Here is an 18,944-nt window from a genome sequence, read left to right on the forward strand (position 1 = left end):
ATGGAGCTGGAGGTCATTATCCTAAGTAACCTAGCACAACAGCAGAAAACCAAATACCACATATTCTCACATATAAATGGGAGCTAAACATTGAATACACATAAAATAAAGATGCAAACAACAGACAGTGGGTAGCAGTAGATGGGGAAAGGAGGGTGGGGGACATGGGCTGAAGAGCTGCCTGTTGGGCACTGTGCCTACTGCCTGTGTGATAGAATCATTAGGACCTCCAGCCTCAGTGTCGCTCAGTTAACCTATGTAACAAACCTGCACATGTACCCTTTAATCAATAATAGAAGTCTAAATTTAAAAATAAAAATAAAATACTAACAAAAGGATTTAAAATATAAAAATATTTATTTTTATAGATAGTAAAGAATATATGAATGCTTTATAGCGTGACTTATAATACATTAATTTATTGCAAATTATAATGTATTTTTTAAAATTTATATCTATTTTTATAAGCATTGGACCCAACTGTTAAGATATTTATAAAGGGATATTGAAGACAAAGTTATAGAGTTAGGATTATGAAGAGGTTAACAACATAAAACATTACCAGGAAAGGAAGAGGCATTATTTTGTTAGAGAAGTAACAGGTACAGTTTCAGGCAGGGAAAAATAAATGAGGTATTTACAAATGTCTCTTCGGCTTCTACTCCTGTGATTTTTCTGTTAACTCTGAATACACCAAGGATAGATATTATTGAAGATAATTACTTGCCTTGGGAAATATCATGGGTGTTTTTTTCCTCCTCAAATACAAATAACAGCCTGTTCTATTCAGTCACATAATTTCTAAAATCTCGTTCTGACATTTTCCCCAAGTGATTCAAAGTCTTGTGAGGAAACATTCTAGTCTTCAGAAACAAGTTTAGGATGCAGGTCTCTGACAAATTAAGCCTCATGATGCCTGAAAAAAAGGACTCCTGGGAATGGAAAACCGAGAAGGTCAGTATCCTCTGCATATTCCTGTAAGAGAAAAGTCACTCCTGAGGAATGACTTATTTCTTTCGCAACAAGGAAAAAGTGGATCAGGGTGAATATTTTCCTCTCTGATAAATGTATCTCTTGTAGTTATGGTTGTTTCTATGACAACTTCCATCACTTTTGAGAACAAGATACTCCCTAAATGCAAATTTTAAAAGTAAACTACTGTACTTTTTGTGAAAGAAACCAAACTAAACCAAAACAAAAACACTTGTATGTAATGCAAAGGTAAATTATTTTTTTTCCGTGATGCAGAATTACCTTTGCACCTTTCAAGATAGTTGTCATACGAATTGCTTGATCTATGGGTGGCGTGGGTAGATTGAGTGATTCGAGTTATTTGGAACGATCCTTAGATATTCAACTTCTTATAGTGTTATGAACCAAATGTAGTAGTAATATGCAAATGGCATTGCTTTAATATGGTGTGAGCATTTAAGGACACTTGCAAAACCAACAGTGCAAAATTCTTGATATTTTAGATAGCAGTTTATCCCTAAATTTTATTAAAATACATATTTCTTTTAACATATAAAGCATGAAAATAATAAAGGTAATAATTAGTAAATTACAATACATGAGAATTTCTTTTCTTCATAGTTAATACTAGAATAGGATTTTTTTAATTGGGCAGTATTAAGTATTTATGAGGACGTGAAGTAACGAATTCTTATTCACTGCTCATGGGACTTTATATGACCATTTTAGAAAATAATTGGACACCATAAGATTAGGAAAAAAATGTTGGCTAACACTTTAAAATATAGATAAAAGATTGAGCAATGAGATTTATTATTTCTTTAGTTCATTAGTTTGCTTTGAGAAATTGCTTTGAATTATATAGACATGATGAGACTGATGTGATCATTGTAGTTTTATTCATGCCAGGAATAGAGCAAAGTATTAAATGGCACTTTGACACTTTGGATATTATTTTAGTATTTGAGATATGAAGCTTTAGGCAGAAGAGGAAGGAATTAGAAGATAGAACTAGATAGCAACCATTATCAGGAAAGAATTACAGCATAGCCTTTTATAATGTAGAAAAGAGGTCCTTGATTAATAGCAAAAAATAAATCAAGCAATAAAAATCATTTTGAACTGAGAATTTCCTGGTGACAGAAGTCGGAGCCAGAAGATGGGGATGTACAAAAATTAAATTGTTTGGCTAAACTTCTAGTATAATACTTGAATTTCATGAGAAAATGAAAGGTTCTGAGAGCAAAAAGACTTTTAACGAATTGAAATTATGAATACTTATAAGAATGGTCACTTATAGAATTTAGAAAATACTTTTAAAAAGTAAATACATCTAGTGACTGACAAATGATAGTTTTTATTCAAACAAAAAACTCAAATTGATTTTGAAGAAGAATTTGTGGTAGTGTGTGAAGTTTAAACAGGAAATTATATAATACCTTGATCAAGAAAATCAGTTCAATTAATTATTGATGATAAAAGCTAACACCACATAGTATTAGCTGGAAATCTTAGTTATTCACTTGTAAGACAATGTGAAAAAGAAAGAAATAATATTAAGTATCAGAATGAAATACACATTCTGGCCTATTAATTGCTTTTCTGTAAAATAAACCAATTTTATCTGACTTTAAGGAAAGTAAGTACTACGTGAGTGGAATAATACTAAGGATAAAGCTTCTTCAGGCATGTGGTATTTTTAGAAGATCATTTAATCAATCTGATTCCACGCAATTGATCTGAGTCCATAGGTCTGGTTTGATTGGCATCAGTGATTCCAGTAGTTCCCAGAAACAGCCAGGTGATGAGATCTGCTATAGGATGTTATTTTAGGAACATGGAGATAGCACAGCCTCTTTCTCATGCCGGCACTCATGATGAAGACTAAAGTTGGTTCTGGCCTGTGTCCATGCTGTGCCTAGGGATACAAGCTTGATCCATTCACATATAATGTTAATACGTGAAGACATCTTTCATAATCATTTTGGTAACACACTGTAAGGAGTGAAGAAATGTTGAAATTATCTTGTGTGGTGGATAATACCCAAAGATAGGCACCTGTTACTCCTTCCGTGCACCTCCACGTAGCTGCTTCCATCACGAGATGAAGTCTAATCCACTTCCAGACCTCTTGAATCTGGGCTGCTCTTAACGACTGGCTTGATTAGTAGAATGCAACGGAATTGATCTTCCGGGATTTTGGAAGCAAATCATAGGAAGGTGGCAGCTTCCTATGTCTTCCTTAGTCTTGTTTGGGGGAAAACTGGGTCATGTAAGAAGTCTGATAACCATGAGACCATCATGCTATGAAGAAATACAGTCTAGCCTCATGGAAAGCCTGCCTGGGAGAGAAGATTCCTGATCACCCTGTAGCTGTTCCAGCCATCCCAGTGGAGGTACCTGACAAGTGAGTCTCGAGCTCCAGCCACCATCTAATGGCAACGGTATAAGAGACCTCAGGTGCAAACTACCTAGCTAAGCCCAGCCAACTCTTGTTACTATGACTAATAACACTAAATGATTGTGTAAGCCAATACATTGGGAGTGGGAGGTTGTGCTGCAATATGTAACTAAACACCTGACTTCAAATGGGGATATTTAGCATTTTGTCTTCTCCATTCTGCATTTTAATAACCTCCAAAAGTATCTTCTTGGCATGTTTCTTGTTGTTGTTTATCATATTAGCACCCTGATAAATTATATGCCAAGAGTGTCTTTACTTCAGGCTACATTTCTTGTGTAGGTGTGTGCTTTCTGCTGGGCTGTCAACTCAATGATGCTACAAGCCTCTAAATTCCTTTAAGACTGCAGCACACATTATTTTTTGGCATGCTTTGATTATATCCCCTTTGCTGTCTGTCCCTGAACTCTTTATAGTAAAAATTGATGTTGTGAAGGAAGCCCCAAAAAAAGATCCTGCAAATAATATCAAAGCAGAATATGTATTTATCTCTCTTGTCATATTAGTCATTAACAACACAATATGTTGGTCCCTTCTTAAGATCAATTTCCTCAAAATATACTACTGTTTCTCCTGTGTGAGACTGAAATATTGACTTTAATTTGCATTTTTCCTGATTACCAGTGAGCTTGAACATTTTCTTTCCACGTGTTTATTGCTTTTCAGGTGACTGCTCATACATATTTTGTGCCTTATTGAGTTTTAGGATTTCTTTATACTGGCTGCCTGAATAAGCTATAAAGATACTCCTTGCCTGTGTCTTGTGTTTTGAATCTGTTTATGATTTATTTTATTGCATAGATGTAGCAGTATTTCATGTATGATTGTGCAGCTTTAAGAAAGTCTTCTTTACCCTGATATCCCAAGAATAATTACCTATATATTTTCTAGACATTTTAGATAAGCTTTACTCATTGGGATGTTTAGTATATTTGAGCTTGACTTTGGTATGTGATGTGAGCATGGGATATATTTTTCCTATGGATGTTCAATTTTCCCATTAGCATTTAGTAAAAAGCCATCATTTCTCAGTGATTTGTAATGCCTCCCTTTTTCACAAGCCAGGTTTCCAGGCACACCTGAGTGTGTGTCTGTGCTCAATATTCTCTCATCTTGTCTCTTTGACTGTGTCATATTAATACCATGCTCCATTAAAATGTAGGTAACAGTTTAAACTTTTGTTTCTAGTTACCTCACAGTATGTTTCTTTTGCTATTATAAAGGAGAGTGGTTTTTAAAATTACATTTTGTAATTAATCATTGCTTTTGAGTGTAGCGTGCAAAGGAAGTGAATGTATAACCAGAAGCATTGATGCTGCTACACTGCCTAATTTTTAACCCCAGCATTACCAGCTGGTAGTGACTTGTAATTCTGCTGATTTTTGCCTTCTGCAGTCTGCAGCTCAGTTAATAAAATCAATTATGTTTAGAGTTATACCGCTAAATGACTCTAAAATCCTTTTAAGTATATTATTTGCTAATTCTCTGTGTGTCAGGCATAGCAAACTTGAGGTAGCAGGCACTTCAGTTACATGAAAGGAAAATGTTATAATTAATCTTAACACTTGAAAGAAAATGTTGCTAAATGATTTAAGGTATGGTTATAGTGTGATCTGTCCAGCAGAGGGACTAGCAGAAATAATACATTGAAATTGAAATAGAAATATATTTGTTCCCCCATATTGTGTCACTTAGGTTGCACTCTATTTTCGGCATATTTTGTATAGCATTTTTCTCATGCCATGGACATCTGCATACATTTTTGCCCAATACGCTTTGCTTTTATAGAAAAAATGTTTTCCATTTTAATCATCATTTCTGAAATCCTGGTGACTGTTTTTGTGATAATCACTAATACTGTTCACAAAATATTCCTGGCTTTTTGCTTTCAAGGCACCAAAATGATTGCATTTCCTGAAGCTCGCAGTTTATTGAAGTCCTGTGACTTATGATGACCTGTAAGCAGAAGTGACCAGTGACTCTTTGGTCAGAGCATTTAATGGCTAGTTTGAGATCCTCCAGAGATCTTTTCCCCTTTGCGAATGTTTTCAATGATGGTTGTCCCGTCAGCCTGTATCCCTGGGTCACTATGAAGTGCAGAGCCACCTGCTGCCTGTGTTAGGGGAAAGTATAACTCTGTTGTTCTAAGCACTGAGACTTGGGGTTGTTTATTACCACACCTGGCCTATCCTAACTGTTATAAGTAATGATACCTAGAAAAAGGGCCTGCTGTAGTGAAAACGAATATATGTAACAGTGTAATAGTTGATTGTCAGACTGAAAGTAAACTGATATTGAAGGCTCTAAGAGTGGTTATTCATTTTATTCTGTGATGAAAATGTTTGGTCCAACTATGGCCTGAAATAGCAGTAAAAGAGCATAGAGGCTGTATGGGACACATAGGGTTATAAGAGGCAACTGCCGTTTATCATTAATTAGTGAAAGACAAAACTCAGAAGGCTTTTGTTCAATGAAAGAAATCGGACTCATATTGCAATAGTATGACTTTTACCCATTGTTCCAACTTCTAAATGGATTAAAAAGCCAGCTTTTAATTTTTCTAGGTTGTGAGTGTGTGTTTATTTGCACAATTAAGTGCATACTTGGACAAATTCTTTTCATAAGGCCATGCTTATTTATTTATTTATTTTAGAGACAGTCTTGCTTTGTCACTCAGGCTGGAGTGGAATGGCGCAATTAATCTCATTGCGACCATGTCCTCCTGGGCTCAAGGCATCCTCCCACCTCAGCCTGTTGGGTAGCTGGGACTACAGGCGAGCACCAAGTCCAGCTGATTTAAAAAAAAATAAATAAAGATAAGGTCTCACTATGTATGTTGCCCAGGATGGTCTTGAACTCCTGGCTCAAGTGATTCTTCTGTCTCAACCTCCCAGTGTTGAGATTACAGTCATGAGCCACCACGCCTGCCCAGGTCATGTTTTTTTGATGAATTATTTCTTTTAGATCCAAAACTGATTTAGCGTATATATGGCACATCCCTTTAACAAATTTTCTCAGATTAAGTGGATTTCTAAAAAGCCTCAGTTTTTTGCATGCTTAATTTATTGAGTTTCCTTACTCCTAAACAAGCTGTTCATTGTTGTTAATAATTCTGCTCATTTTTCTTCTATATTTGTGATTCCTTCTGGCAACATATTGATTTCGTTCAGTAGTTACCCAGAATTTTTCACACCGGAGACACTAATTTTCAGACATTTGCATCATCTTCATAACAAAATCCATATTTAAACATTTTGCTACATCCTAAGCTTAGGGCTACTCATATTGGATATTGCAATTTCCTATAGTCCCCTGGGTGAATGTATTTTTTCACCTTCTTTGCCCAAAAATTCATAGCAGGAAGAGTCAAGAACAATAGTGCATTTGATATGACACTCAATTTCTGTTTTTCTGTATTCTCTGTAGTAGTCGGGCCTTGACACTTAGGAGCTTGTGCCGCCTACTGTTCATGACCTATATAATTCCCACTCCTTCAGCATAGGCAGGACCTGTGATTTGATTCTAGCCAATGGAAAATGGCAAAGATAAAGGGACTTTTCACATGTAATTAAGGCCCCACATCAGTTGATTATGAGTTATTCAAAATGAAGATGAGGCCGGGCACAGTGGCTCATGCCTGTAATCCCAACACTTTGGGCGGCCAAGGCAGGTGGATCATTTGAGGTCAGGAGTTTGAGACCAGCCCGGATAACATGGTGAAACCCTGTCTCTACTGAAAATACAAAAATTGGCCAGGCGTGGTGGCACATGCCTGTAATCCTAGCTACTCAGGAGGCTGAGGCAGGAGAATCGTTTGAACCTAGGAGACAAAGGTTGCAGTGAGCCGAGATCGTGCCACTGCCCTCCAGCCTGGGCGACAGAGTGAGACTCCATCTCAAAAAATAAATAAATAAATAAATAAAAACAAACAAAAGGAAGATGACACTGGGTGGGCCAGACTTAATCAGAGGAAAATCTTAAAAGCGATTCTCCTGGCAGCCTTCAAAATTTTGTGGTCATGCTGTGAAAGGGGCTATGTGACAAAGGACTGTGGCCAGCCTCTAGAGGGTAGCACAGCCCTGGCTGACAGCCAAAAAAGGAAGACCTCGGTCTTCTAAGCACAGGGAAGTGAATTCAGCCACCAAACAGGACACTCATCCCAGTCTGTGTCTGGATTACAATCTTCTGAGACCCTGTGCAGAGGACCCGCTAAGTTGTGCCCAGACTCCTGACCCATGGAAACTGTGAGATAATAAACTTCTGTTGTTTTATTAAAAATTTAATTGTATTTTAAACCGACAAGTAATAATGTATATATTTATGAAATGTTATGACCATAAAGTCATAATAAGTATGTGAGGTGATGGATATGTTAGTTCTACTTAATTTTTCCACAGTGTGCACATATATCATCACATCAGATGTGTGTTGTTTTAAGCCAATAAATTTGTGATATTTTGCTAAGCAATATAAAAAAATTTATTATTTTTAATGTTAAACCTCTTTATTGATCTTAACATAGAATAAAATTTTCCTCTTTAAAGTATTCAATTTAATGACTATTAGTATATTCACAGAGTTAGGGAATTATTATCACCAAAATCTAAGTTTAGAATGTGTTAATCACCCCTAGGTAACCATTTTGCCATTAACAGTCATTTCCCCATCCCACCCCCAGCCTGGGCACACAATAATCTGCTTTCTGACTCTATAGATCTATTTTGAATGTCTCATGTAAATACAATTTTCTAATATGTAGGCTATTGTGACTGGCTTCCTTCACTTAGTATGGCGTTTTAAAGGTTCATTCATGTTGTAACATGTATCACTATTTCATACCATTTTATAACCAAATATATTCTTTGCATGGATCTGTGACCTTTTATTTACACACTCATCAGTTTACAGATATTTGGATTGTTGCAGCTTTTTCAGTATTGTAAGTAATGCTTACATGAACATTTGCATGTACGTTTTTGCGAGGCCATATGTTTTATTTCCCTTGAATGTATACCTAGGAGTTGAATTGCTGAGTCATGTGATATTCCTGTGTTTAGCATTGAGGAACTTTCAAGTTATTTTTCAAAGAGGCTGCACCGTTTTATATTCCTACCAAAAATGAATGAGAGTTTTCATTTCTCCATGACCTGTCCAACATTGTTTTTGTCTTTCTTTTTTATTATAGTCATACCTGTGAGTATGAAGTCATATTTTGGTTTTGATTTGCAGTTCTCTAATGTCTGATGATGTTGAGTGTTGAGAATTTTAATATGCTTATTGAGGATTTGTGTATTCTTTTGGAGAAACGTCCATTTAGGTACATCATTTATTGCTTTTAAAATTGAGTTGTCTTTTTATTATTCATTTATAAGTGTGATTTATATTCATACATTTTCGCATGTGTGTACTAAAAATATTTGCAATTCATATATCTGATAAGGGACTTAAATATATACAGGTACATACGTGTGTGTATTTGTGCATATTTGTGTGTATATACACACTTTTTTATCAGAAATACAATTTGCAAATACTTTTTCCTATTCTATGGACTATATGTTCACTTTTTTGATGGTATCATTTGTAGCACATGTTTTTAATTTTGATGTGGTCATTTATCTATCTCTTCTTTTGTCACTTGTGGTTTTTGTGTCATATCTGAGGAACTGTACCGTAACCCAAGGTCACAAAGATTTACTCCTATATTTTCTTCTGAGTTTTTAACACTTATAACTCGTGTGCTTGTTTCATAATTTATCTTGAGTTAATTTTGTTTAAGGTATGAGTTAAGGGCCCAACTTCATTACTTTGTATGTGGATAGACAGATGTCTCTGCACCATGTCCAGTGCTGTGTAGACATTACCCTGAGTCAGCATAAGCCACATTTTGGTCAAATGTTGTGCTTAAGCCCTCTTAGCTCACTAGAGTTTGGCCTTTACCATTTGATGAGATCATGGCTTGGAGGCTGTGATTACGGTTTAAAAAGTTTAGGTTCCTGCCCCCATCTTCAGCCAGGGACTCATAGCTTGGCATTCCCCCTGCAATCCCTCCTACAGGGATATAGCTTTGGGCATGCACACAGTATTTCAGACTGCCAGAGATTGTTGTGATTTTATTTTAAAGCCCAGCTTCCTTAGAGTTTCATCTGAGTCAGAGTTGCTAATTGTTTGCCCAGTGTTTGGGTCAGAACTTGTGCTTAATCTCCTAGTGACAGTGAGACTTCTGCCCTTTGTGGCTGGATCTGCACGTGACTTGTTGAATGATTTTAAGTCTGTGTCACCCTGTGTTATGATTACTCCTAAGTGGGTGCATCCTAGCACTGTATACAGCTTTCCCGATCCCATCACCCCAGGGATGATTGAGGACCCAGGATGGCTCTGCTCTTACTGGCTTTCTCTTTCCTTGGTTCTCTCTGCTAAACATCCAGGTGCTCTGCCCTTTTATTTGTTATTACAATTATCATGGAGCTATGCACTCCCCCTTAATCATTCTCCACCAGAATCTGTGTTGTTTTGACAGTGTCCTTAGGCATGGACTTTTCCATATTCTTCTGCGAAGTCCATCCTATCAGGAAAGAGCTCCTCATGGATTACAGAATGAATGGATGTGTGAATGCTGCTTCCAGTGTGACACCTTGCTCTGAAAGCAGGTGCTGGGAGGTTGGCAGCATCTAGGCTTCCTGGCTTTCTTCTCTAGCACACAACTTCTGTCTCTCTCAAGAGCCAGCCAGGGCTAGGACAATTAGTGCCAAGCATTCTTGGTCTCCTGTGCTTGGAGTAGAGCTCCTATTCTGTGCAGGAGAAGGGGGGCTGCCCTGTCAACCAAGCCTTCACGAGTAGAGCTTGGGCAACAGAGACCTGAAGGAAATGACAAGTGTTAATTACGTACCTCTTTAGGGTTGACCTGCAGTCTTAGCTTGTGAGCTGAGGAAAGAAGAGACTGTATTTCCAGCTACAGGACACAGAGTAAAACTTCCATCACACTGAGCTTAGGGATAGGGGAGGGAGTAGGTTGTGGCTCAAATGCCATAGGTTTTCACTGTTGTTACCACTGCTTAGTAGATTTTTCTTGAATAGATCTTTCTCCATTATCTGTATAACTTTAGGACAATTTCCAGATACCTTAGGGGGTTTTTAATAATTTCCTCCAGTTAAATGATTGTTTTGTTGGAGAGTCTGGTGGGCCCTACCATTCTGAAAGCAAATTTCTTTTATTATGTTTTGTGTTCATAATAATTTCACCTTTATGCTGCAAACTTCCTATTATTAATCTGTGATTCAGTTTCCAGTAAAACATATAAATCTTTTTACACATTAAAAATATAAAGGCATATATTAAAAAAAGGGTGATTTTTAAATACTGTCATATTAAAGAGGAATTTGTCATGCTCAGAAATAGATATAAATATTGTAACAAGTTGTAAAGAAACTTATTAAATAAAATATGACGGGAAGGTACCCTGGAGTTTTGGAAACAGGTATTTTCTGGGTGTGTAATGATTTTGTATAATGAAAAATAAATACAGATTAAGTAATCAATTACTTAGAGTGTGCCAACAATGGATAGAAATTATAATTTAATTCTTAGTAAGTGGAAAGAAAACATTATAACCAGTCATGTTGAAATTAAAATGTGAGAAATTGGTATGGACTCGTGCCTTTTAATATATGGATGATAGATCAATATATTCACTACTTATATTTATATTCGTGTTCATAGTTCTTGGATTCTACTGATAAGAGCTAGAAGCATCGACATCCTGGGATGAGCATACCTAGTGCCGGGACCTTGGTTTCTATAAACCATGACCCATTAAAGGAATCGGAGATTCTTGGAGAAATGGCTGATTTCCATGTTGGGGTAGGAAAAGTGGAAGCTAAGCCTGGAACGTCTTGTGCCCAAAACTACAGTAGTACTTAAAATATTATGAGAGCATGTCAGATGTCAGCTTGAACGGGCTCCCTCTGGCAAAATCTGTGACAATCTGAGCATCAGAATAATAAGAGTAACAGAATATTTATGGAATAAAATACGCAAATATGAACCTGTACTGATATAAATACATTAATGGTGGAAAAGAGATAGCTGTTATGTGTGGCAGAGGACCAACTAGTAAGTGCAGAACTAATGATTCCTTATAAAATCACCTTCCTGCAACCATCATATAATGATTGATTCAGGCAAGGATCATTAATAGCTGTTATCATAGGGGGTAAAATTTTAATGAGGAACAAAATATTTACATAACTTCAAAGTGTCTCCTTCAAATACTTATTAATCACACACAAAAAAATAGTGACTTCATAGGGAAGCAACCTGGTATACAATAACTAATGAATAGATCAACTTCACATCATTAGTAAAGAAACAAACTGACATTTTGTGTCTCCTAAAATAATGCTGTCCAGTGAGCACAGCATCACGTATACAGTTTTCCTAGTAAAAATGCATAACCTGCATCTAGCCATGAGGAAACACAAGGCAAATACAAGTTGAAGGAAATTTTACAAAATAATTGGCTTGTGCTCTTCAAAAGTCTTGAGGTCATGGAAAACAAAAAACGGTCTGAAAATTGTTTTCTGTTAAAGGAGAATAAAGATACATGACAATTAAATGTGATTCTGGTTTGGACTGTGACTAAAAAAGTTATTATGATAGACATTGTTAAGACAATGGGTAAAGTTTGAGTATAGACTATAGAATAGCTAATACTATTGTATTGTTGTTATGTATTCTAATTTTGATAATTATACTGCAATTACATAAGAGAAAATACAAATTCTTAGAAAATAGTTACTGAATTTATTGTGGAAAAAGGGATGTGATGTCTATGACTTATATTCAAATCATTCAGAAGTACATAGTTGTATATTATGTAAAGAAAAAAATATATATACACATATATATGCATACACACACGATTAACAAAAGTCATTTAAAAAGCATACAGCATTTGACCCAGAAATGCCACTACATATTATAAAATGTATTTGTTCTAAAAAAATGACAATGGAGAAAAATCTATTTGCCTAACTATTGAACTGCAGGTTAATTTTAATCATTTAAGTAGTAACGATTTTAATTTCCCATAATAAAAGATTGATTAAGAAAACTAAATCAGGTTTATATAATATTGGATATCCACAAAATATGTTTATAAAATATATATGGTAATTGCAGAAATGCTTATGCTAACATACCCATATCAAAAGTGTTAATGATAGTGGTATAAAATTAACATGTGAAGGTGGAGTGGCAAGAAACGTGAAAATAAGTTGTAATGGAATTCTGAACAACTTTCTTTACTTCTTTTTATTCCTATGTAAATGTTCTCTAATAAAATATGAATACAAAAAATGTGGAGAGATCAGTCTTACAGCCCAGCAAAATTACATTGCAAATATTCTGAGCTTGTAGCCTTTGAATTCAAGTGAATTCATTTTTATGGGCAGTAAATGAAATGGAAACAATGATGGTTGTAGTGTTCAACCAATTTGGATAGAGGCTGGATTACCAGAAAGAAAATTTCAATTAAATCCTTGGTTTATTTACCACATTGTCACACAGTCCTCAGCAAGCCCACAGTAAGTCATAAAAAAAAATTCCAATTTCTTTTCTTTCTTTCTTTCTTTTTTTTTTTTTTTGAGTGGGGCAGGTAGAAAAGAAAGTACTTCCCAAGTTCTAGAGGCTATGTTTCATGTAATCAAGCTCGGCTGGATACATTCAGGATACGTACACTATGCAGTGGAGGATGAAACAAAGGTTTTGTCAAAGGATTTTCTAAAAGCTCAAACAACAACAGCAAAACACAAAACAAGCCTTGTCTGAAGAGTACAGATATTATAGTCATGAGCACAAAAAGTAAAAGGAAGATAAATAAAGGGAAAAATCCTGTTTCTGAATTTGTTATGACATAAAAATATCAAAGATGAGACAGTTATTCTAAGAAATTGTGAAAGATGATGATAACAATTTTGTAATCAGAGGTGTTAATATTTGATAAAACATTAGGCTTAAGTTTATGTCAGCTTTATTCTGATTAGTTTATTTTCAGGTCTAAATGGATAAGGAATTAAATTAGTATCCTAAACACAGATTTCAAAGATACCAGGAAAGCAACTGAAGCTGGTATAAAACAAAACTTTTTTTCTTAAGTCTGGGTTCATTTTTATGCCACCCTTAAGAATATACCCATGAAGAATTTCACTGAGTAGTTAGAGGAGAGGGAAAGTCATGGGTTTCAACCGTTAAAAAAGGCATTTCATGATGGGCATTCGGATTCAGGACTGAAAGCTAGCTCTCAGGATAGGAAGGATGCAGCCATAGTTCTGTGTTTGATTAGTTATAAGAAATGACATTTTTTCTTGGTGAGAAAAGAGTCTTCATTTAGGTTCAATGGCAGTCTAGCGCACGGTGGGGGAGGGGGAGTGTATAGTAGGAGAAGACAAGCCTTTTTCACCTGCTGTGTTCTCAACACACAACACAGGACACTTCTGTGACTGGATGTATGTGTGTACGTTTCTTCCGCACTAACCAGTTCCCCCACACTAGCTCGGTGTCCTATAATTCAATTCAGTTGTGACACTGCTTACCTGGAGTTTGTGCCAGATCCCATAGGCTAAGGTTTTAGTCCCACAAGACTTTACTTCAGATGCCAGTTGCAAGTCCAGGCTTCCAGTACATCTGACCTACCAGCTATAAATTGGAGGTTCTTGTAACCCCCTTGGGTTCAGTCATTTGCTAGAATGACTGAACTCGGGGAAACATTTTATTTACTATTGCCAATTTATTACAAACGATATTTGAAAATATATAAATGAACATCCAGATGAAGAGATGTTTATAAGGGGAGGTTCAGAAGGATCCTGAGAGCAGGAGCTTCTGTGCTCGTGAAGTTGGGGTGGGCCACCCTCCTGGCAGTGGTCATGTTCAGCAGCCTAGAAGCTCTACCAACCCCATCCTTTGGATTTTTATGGAGGCTTCATTGCATAGACATGATAAATTACATCACTAACCATTGATGATCAGTTCAACCTTCAGTGAAAGTTACAGCCCTCTAGTCACATTCCCCTGGCAGCCAACTGTCATCCAAAGGCTATCTAGCAGGCTCAGTCATCTCACTTCCAGATAAAAAGACACTAATCGCTGCAGAGATTCCAAGGGGCCTTTGTGCCAGGAAATGGGGGCAGAGACTAAATTTATATTCTTACTGTTTTACAGGAAGTCACTCAAAGCCTGATTCTTTAACAAAGCTAGTTGGTTAGAATAATGTTAATGATAGTGCTTTCATTTAATATATCCTGGGCAAATGCTGTTGTAAGGGAATACTTTCGTTTTATATAATTATAATTTAAAGGAAGATTTCTAGCAGATTGATCTTGCAGAAGTAATATCATGTAATATTGTCAAATGTGTTTATTTCCAACAAAATTTAGTAGGAGAATGTGTATTTCAAAAGCAGTTCAATCCAAGAGTTACATAAACAACAGCTAAAGAAAGTAATCTTAAGGGGTTGGTAATAGCTTATGCTACATATAAATCAGCCATCACAAATTGATGTATTTACAAATTATGTATATGTGTGTATATATACACCCATACACATCATATGCATATACACATATATGTGTAAATATACAGAACATAATATTACATATATATAATAAAGATATTTGCAAAGCATAAAGGTCATAGCATGAACCTAGGAATATAACAGTCCAATGAGTTCATCTTTTCAGAAAGCTACTGCCCAGAAAAGGCCAATGTACTGAGAATAGCAGGTATTGCAGCAAAGAAAGAGTTTAATTATCACAGGGCCAGTCAAGGGGAAGGACAGCAGACATTTCTCAAGTCTGCCTTCCTGAAAGCTCTTGGAGTGGTAGGGTTATTAAGGATAATTTGGTGGGCAGGGGGCTAGGGAATGGGTGCTGCTACTTAGTTGGGGATGAAATTATACGACTGCCTAATCTGTCTTTGTGCACTGAGTCAGCTTCTGGGTGAGAGTCACAGAACTGGTTGAGCCAGTTCCTTGGTGTGAGTTAGGAATCTGAGTGAGTCAGTTGGTCACCAGAATGCAAAAGTCTGAAAAATATCTCAAAGACAAGTCTTAGATGTTGACAATAGTGATGTTGTCTATAGGAGCAGTTGAGGAAGTTGCAAATCCTGTGACTCCCCAGCTACATGATTCTTGAGCAATAAGCAATTATAGAAAGGCAAGCTAGAGGACAATGGCTTGAGCCTGTTTGCCCACAGCTCTGGCAACCAAGTGAATGGGTAGTACTAAGAATTGCCTCCTTGGGAATTCCATGTAGTTCATGGCTTTTATGATTGAAATAGCATTCATACAGGTCTGACCTTGTGGAAAGAAACAGATGTTCATGGACTTGGTTATGCCTGACCTTGCACCACTCATGATGATGTGCAATTTCCTGATTTTCACTGTAAGCTATACATTCCAAAACAAATTCTCTGGATTTTATGACTTTAAAGTCAGGTTTAAACCTACAATTTTATTTTTATGTGATAGTTTATTTTTTCGGGACTGTCATTAAGTCAGTGAAGTGACATACCATTGATAAGATCTTAGCAATATGAAAAACTAGGCATTTTTTGTAAAAGTTATTAATATCAAAATGGAGTCACTTATGTGAAGCCCTAAAGAAATGGAGCTGGGAGATCATGAAGAAGGAAACTTCATGCTCATATGCCTATAATTGGAGTTATAAGAGCTTTCTGCCTATATGCCTATGATGGGAATTATGCAAGGAACTCCTTAAAAATGTGGTATTCCAGTTAAGCCACTTGCACGAGGATGCTTGCCTATCAATGGCTGTCTCTGCCAATGAGCTAATGTCAACTCTTGCAAGAACGAATGGTCTTTGTTTCAAAGAAGCTTGCATGGATTTCTCCTTTTTGTCTTTAAATCTTCCCTGTATCCCAGCCACTTTAGATGTGCCTGTGGTTCACCATAGCGTGTACATCCCAGATTGCAATTGTCTGCTATTCCTGAATAAACTCTCCCTTTGGAAATCTTGTCTCTCTGTTATTATTTTCATAATATAATAAACTCAAAAAACTAAATAGTATTCTTAGTAGAGAATGAAAAAGGAATGCAGAATTTGTGAAAACAAGATGTAGTATTAAATACAAGTTAAAAAATAGGAAGAAGTGGAATATGAAAAAGAAAACTAGGGTTTAGGCTCTGACAACTAAGGTAATTATTCAGTGCTATTACGCAGATTGTTGATTTTTGAGAAATGATTAAATAGCTAAAAAATATTTCCATAAATCTGTGTCCTACATTAGCTAATTTCCTCAATTTGGAGGCTGACATTATATTAGTAGATTCTTTAGAGCTGAATAGTACAGAATAATAAAGTCTTCAAAAAAAGGAGGAACCTGTGGGAATGGATTAAAATAACTTTACCTGTAGAGGACTTAGGAAGTTGGCAAACGGGGCCCTAGGTGTACAGCCGAAAGTATCTTCAGTTACTGAATAGAGAGAGAGAAAAAAAGCCAATATCTAGAAAGAAGCAATTTGCATTTTAAGGTGTATATCACATGATCTGAGAGATGGCAACACATCAGGTGAATAATAACTTCATCTGCTGCAAGCTTTCTTAACATCTCTATTTAGTGCTTGAATGCATCTTTCTATTTTATTCTCCTATCTCCTACTCTCTCAAAGTACTAAGCACTACACAATATCTAAAGTTATCATTTCTAAGGCTAACTACATCTAATTTTTATCATGGGTTGTAGTTTTCCAACGTAGACTAACTCTAAGAAAAGCTATATGTCCACCTTTCATTTTTGCTATATCTCAGTGCAAATGTAAATTGCAAATCTCTTTACCTCTGAGATCGTGTTGTGGGTCCCCTGCAGTTACAGAAATAATGAAGTTATCATCAGAAGGTCAGAATCTGCCTACCTGTATGGCCGTGGAAAGCAGTTTCCTGCTTCCAAATTGGATCCTTTTTTTAAAAGCAGCATCTTGTTTGCCTCTTCTGATATTCACATATTTCAAAACAAATTTTATTATACAGAGAAGAAAAAATTATGATTGTTTCCATTTCTCTGAAACTATAAAAATTTACAAGAACATTTATGTCAAGTTTCTGATTTTCCCCTATTAGGTAACTAGATTACTCAATAACAGTAGTATAGGAATGTTTCTCAGAGATAGTCACTCTCCTGAAATACATTATTGGAATTTCATAAAGTCGTTTACCGGATTCTTTTGTGTCCCAGGCTCACTGCCTATCACGGTCAATTTCATGTGTCAACTTGGGTAGGCCATGGTATGCAGCTGTCTATTCAAACAGCAGTCTAGATGTTGCTGGGAAGTTATTTTTTAGATAAAATTAACCCTAAATTCAGAAATTTTGAGTAAAGCAGTGTGCTCTCCATATGTGGGGGGGCCTTATCAAATTAGTTGAAGGTCTTAAGACTGAGGACCTTTGAGGAAGAGGGAATTGTGCCAGCAGACTCCCTTCAGATTCCAGCTGCAATGTCAACTCTTCCCTGGGTTTCCAGCCTGCCAGCCTTCCTTGCAAATTTCAGACTTGCCAGCTCACACACCTTTATGCACCAGTTCCATTAAATAAATCTCCCTCTCCCTCTAGTTTTACCCAAATCTCTATAAATCTGTATCTAGACCTATATATGTTGTTATCATATATTGGTATATAGATCTATATATAGATATATATCAACAAGATTGATATAGAATCCTATTGATTATGTTTTTCTGAAGAACTCTTCTTTCTTTATGATTGCTTCAGTATGTTTTAAGAGACTTAAATACATTGGCCAAGAGACTTAAATATATTACAATTACCCTCAGCTTGACTACACTTTACATAGGTTTCTTCCTGACTCTAGGGCCCTGGTCTCCATTTTTGTACAGCATTTACTTTGGAAAACATAATTGTAAATTTTTCTCTGCCCCTTTGAGATGTGAATTTTTTTTAAAAAAACCTCTTAGTAGTTTTACAACGTAACTCTTTGAATGTAAATATCAAGGGAGATAACACCCCTATCTCCTGGTTTCTATGGAAGGGTAGGAGCCTAACTTTGGTGGCTGCCTTGTTCCTATTGTAAAACTACCCTTTTGTCACAAAGAGAGTGGAAAATTTATGTTTCAATGGGTAAAGTCAGCTAGAAAACACATATAACCTATGCTTTCTCTCTCATCCCAGAACTTAAAATTTCTCTCACTCTTTGTTTCAGTGGAGTCGAGCTCAGACCGAATTCTGGCCTCTCTCCTTTATTGCAATAGACTTGAAAAAATTCTTTCTTCCCTGTTCAGCTTTTCCTGATGCAAATTACAATATAAAGAGGCTCCTGTTGTGCAAAGGCATAAAAATGATACAATGGACTTTGGGGACTTTGTGGGGGAGAGGGTGGGAAGCGGGTGAGGGATAAAAGACAGCAAATTGGATTCAGTGTACACTGCTTGGGTGATGGGTGCACCAAAATCTCACAAATCACCACTAAAGAACTTACTCA

General features: G+C 36.2%; 1 annotated feature.

Annotated features, from left to right (window-relative positions):
- Nucleotides 10,927-11,096: an enhancer, noted in NCBI's record as "experimental_44671 CRE fragment used in MPRA reporter constructs". NCBI's record gives its function as "activates a minimal promoter by MPRAs in K562 erythroleukemia cells, with activity observed for the non-introgressed 16:76705931 variant allele {active_cell/tissue: K562}" and the evidence as "EXISTENCE:reporter gene assay evidence [ECO:0000049][PMID:34662402]".

The sequence above is a fragment of the Homo sapiens genome, chromosome 16 (genome assembly GCF_000001405.40).
Source record: "Homo sapiens chromosome 16, GRCh38.p14 Primary Assembly".
Classification (NCBI taxonomy): Eukaryota; Metazoa; Chordata; class Mammalia; order Primates; family Hominidae; genus Homo; species Homo sapiens.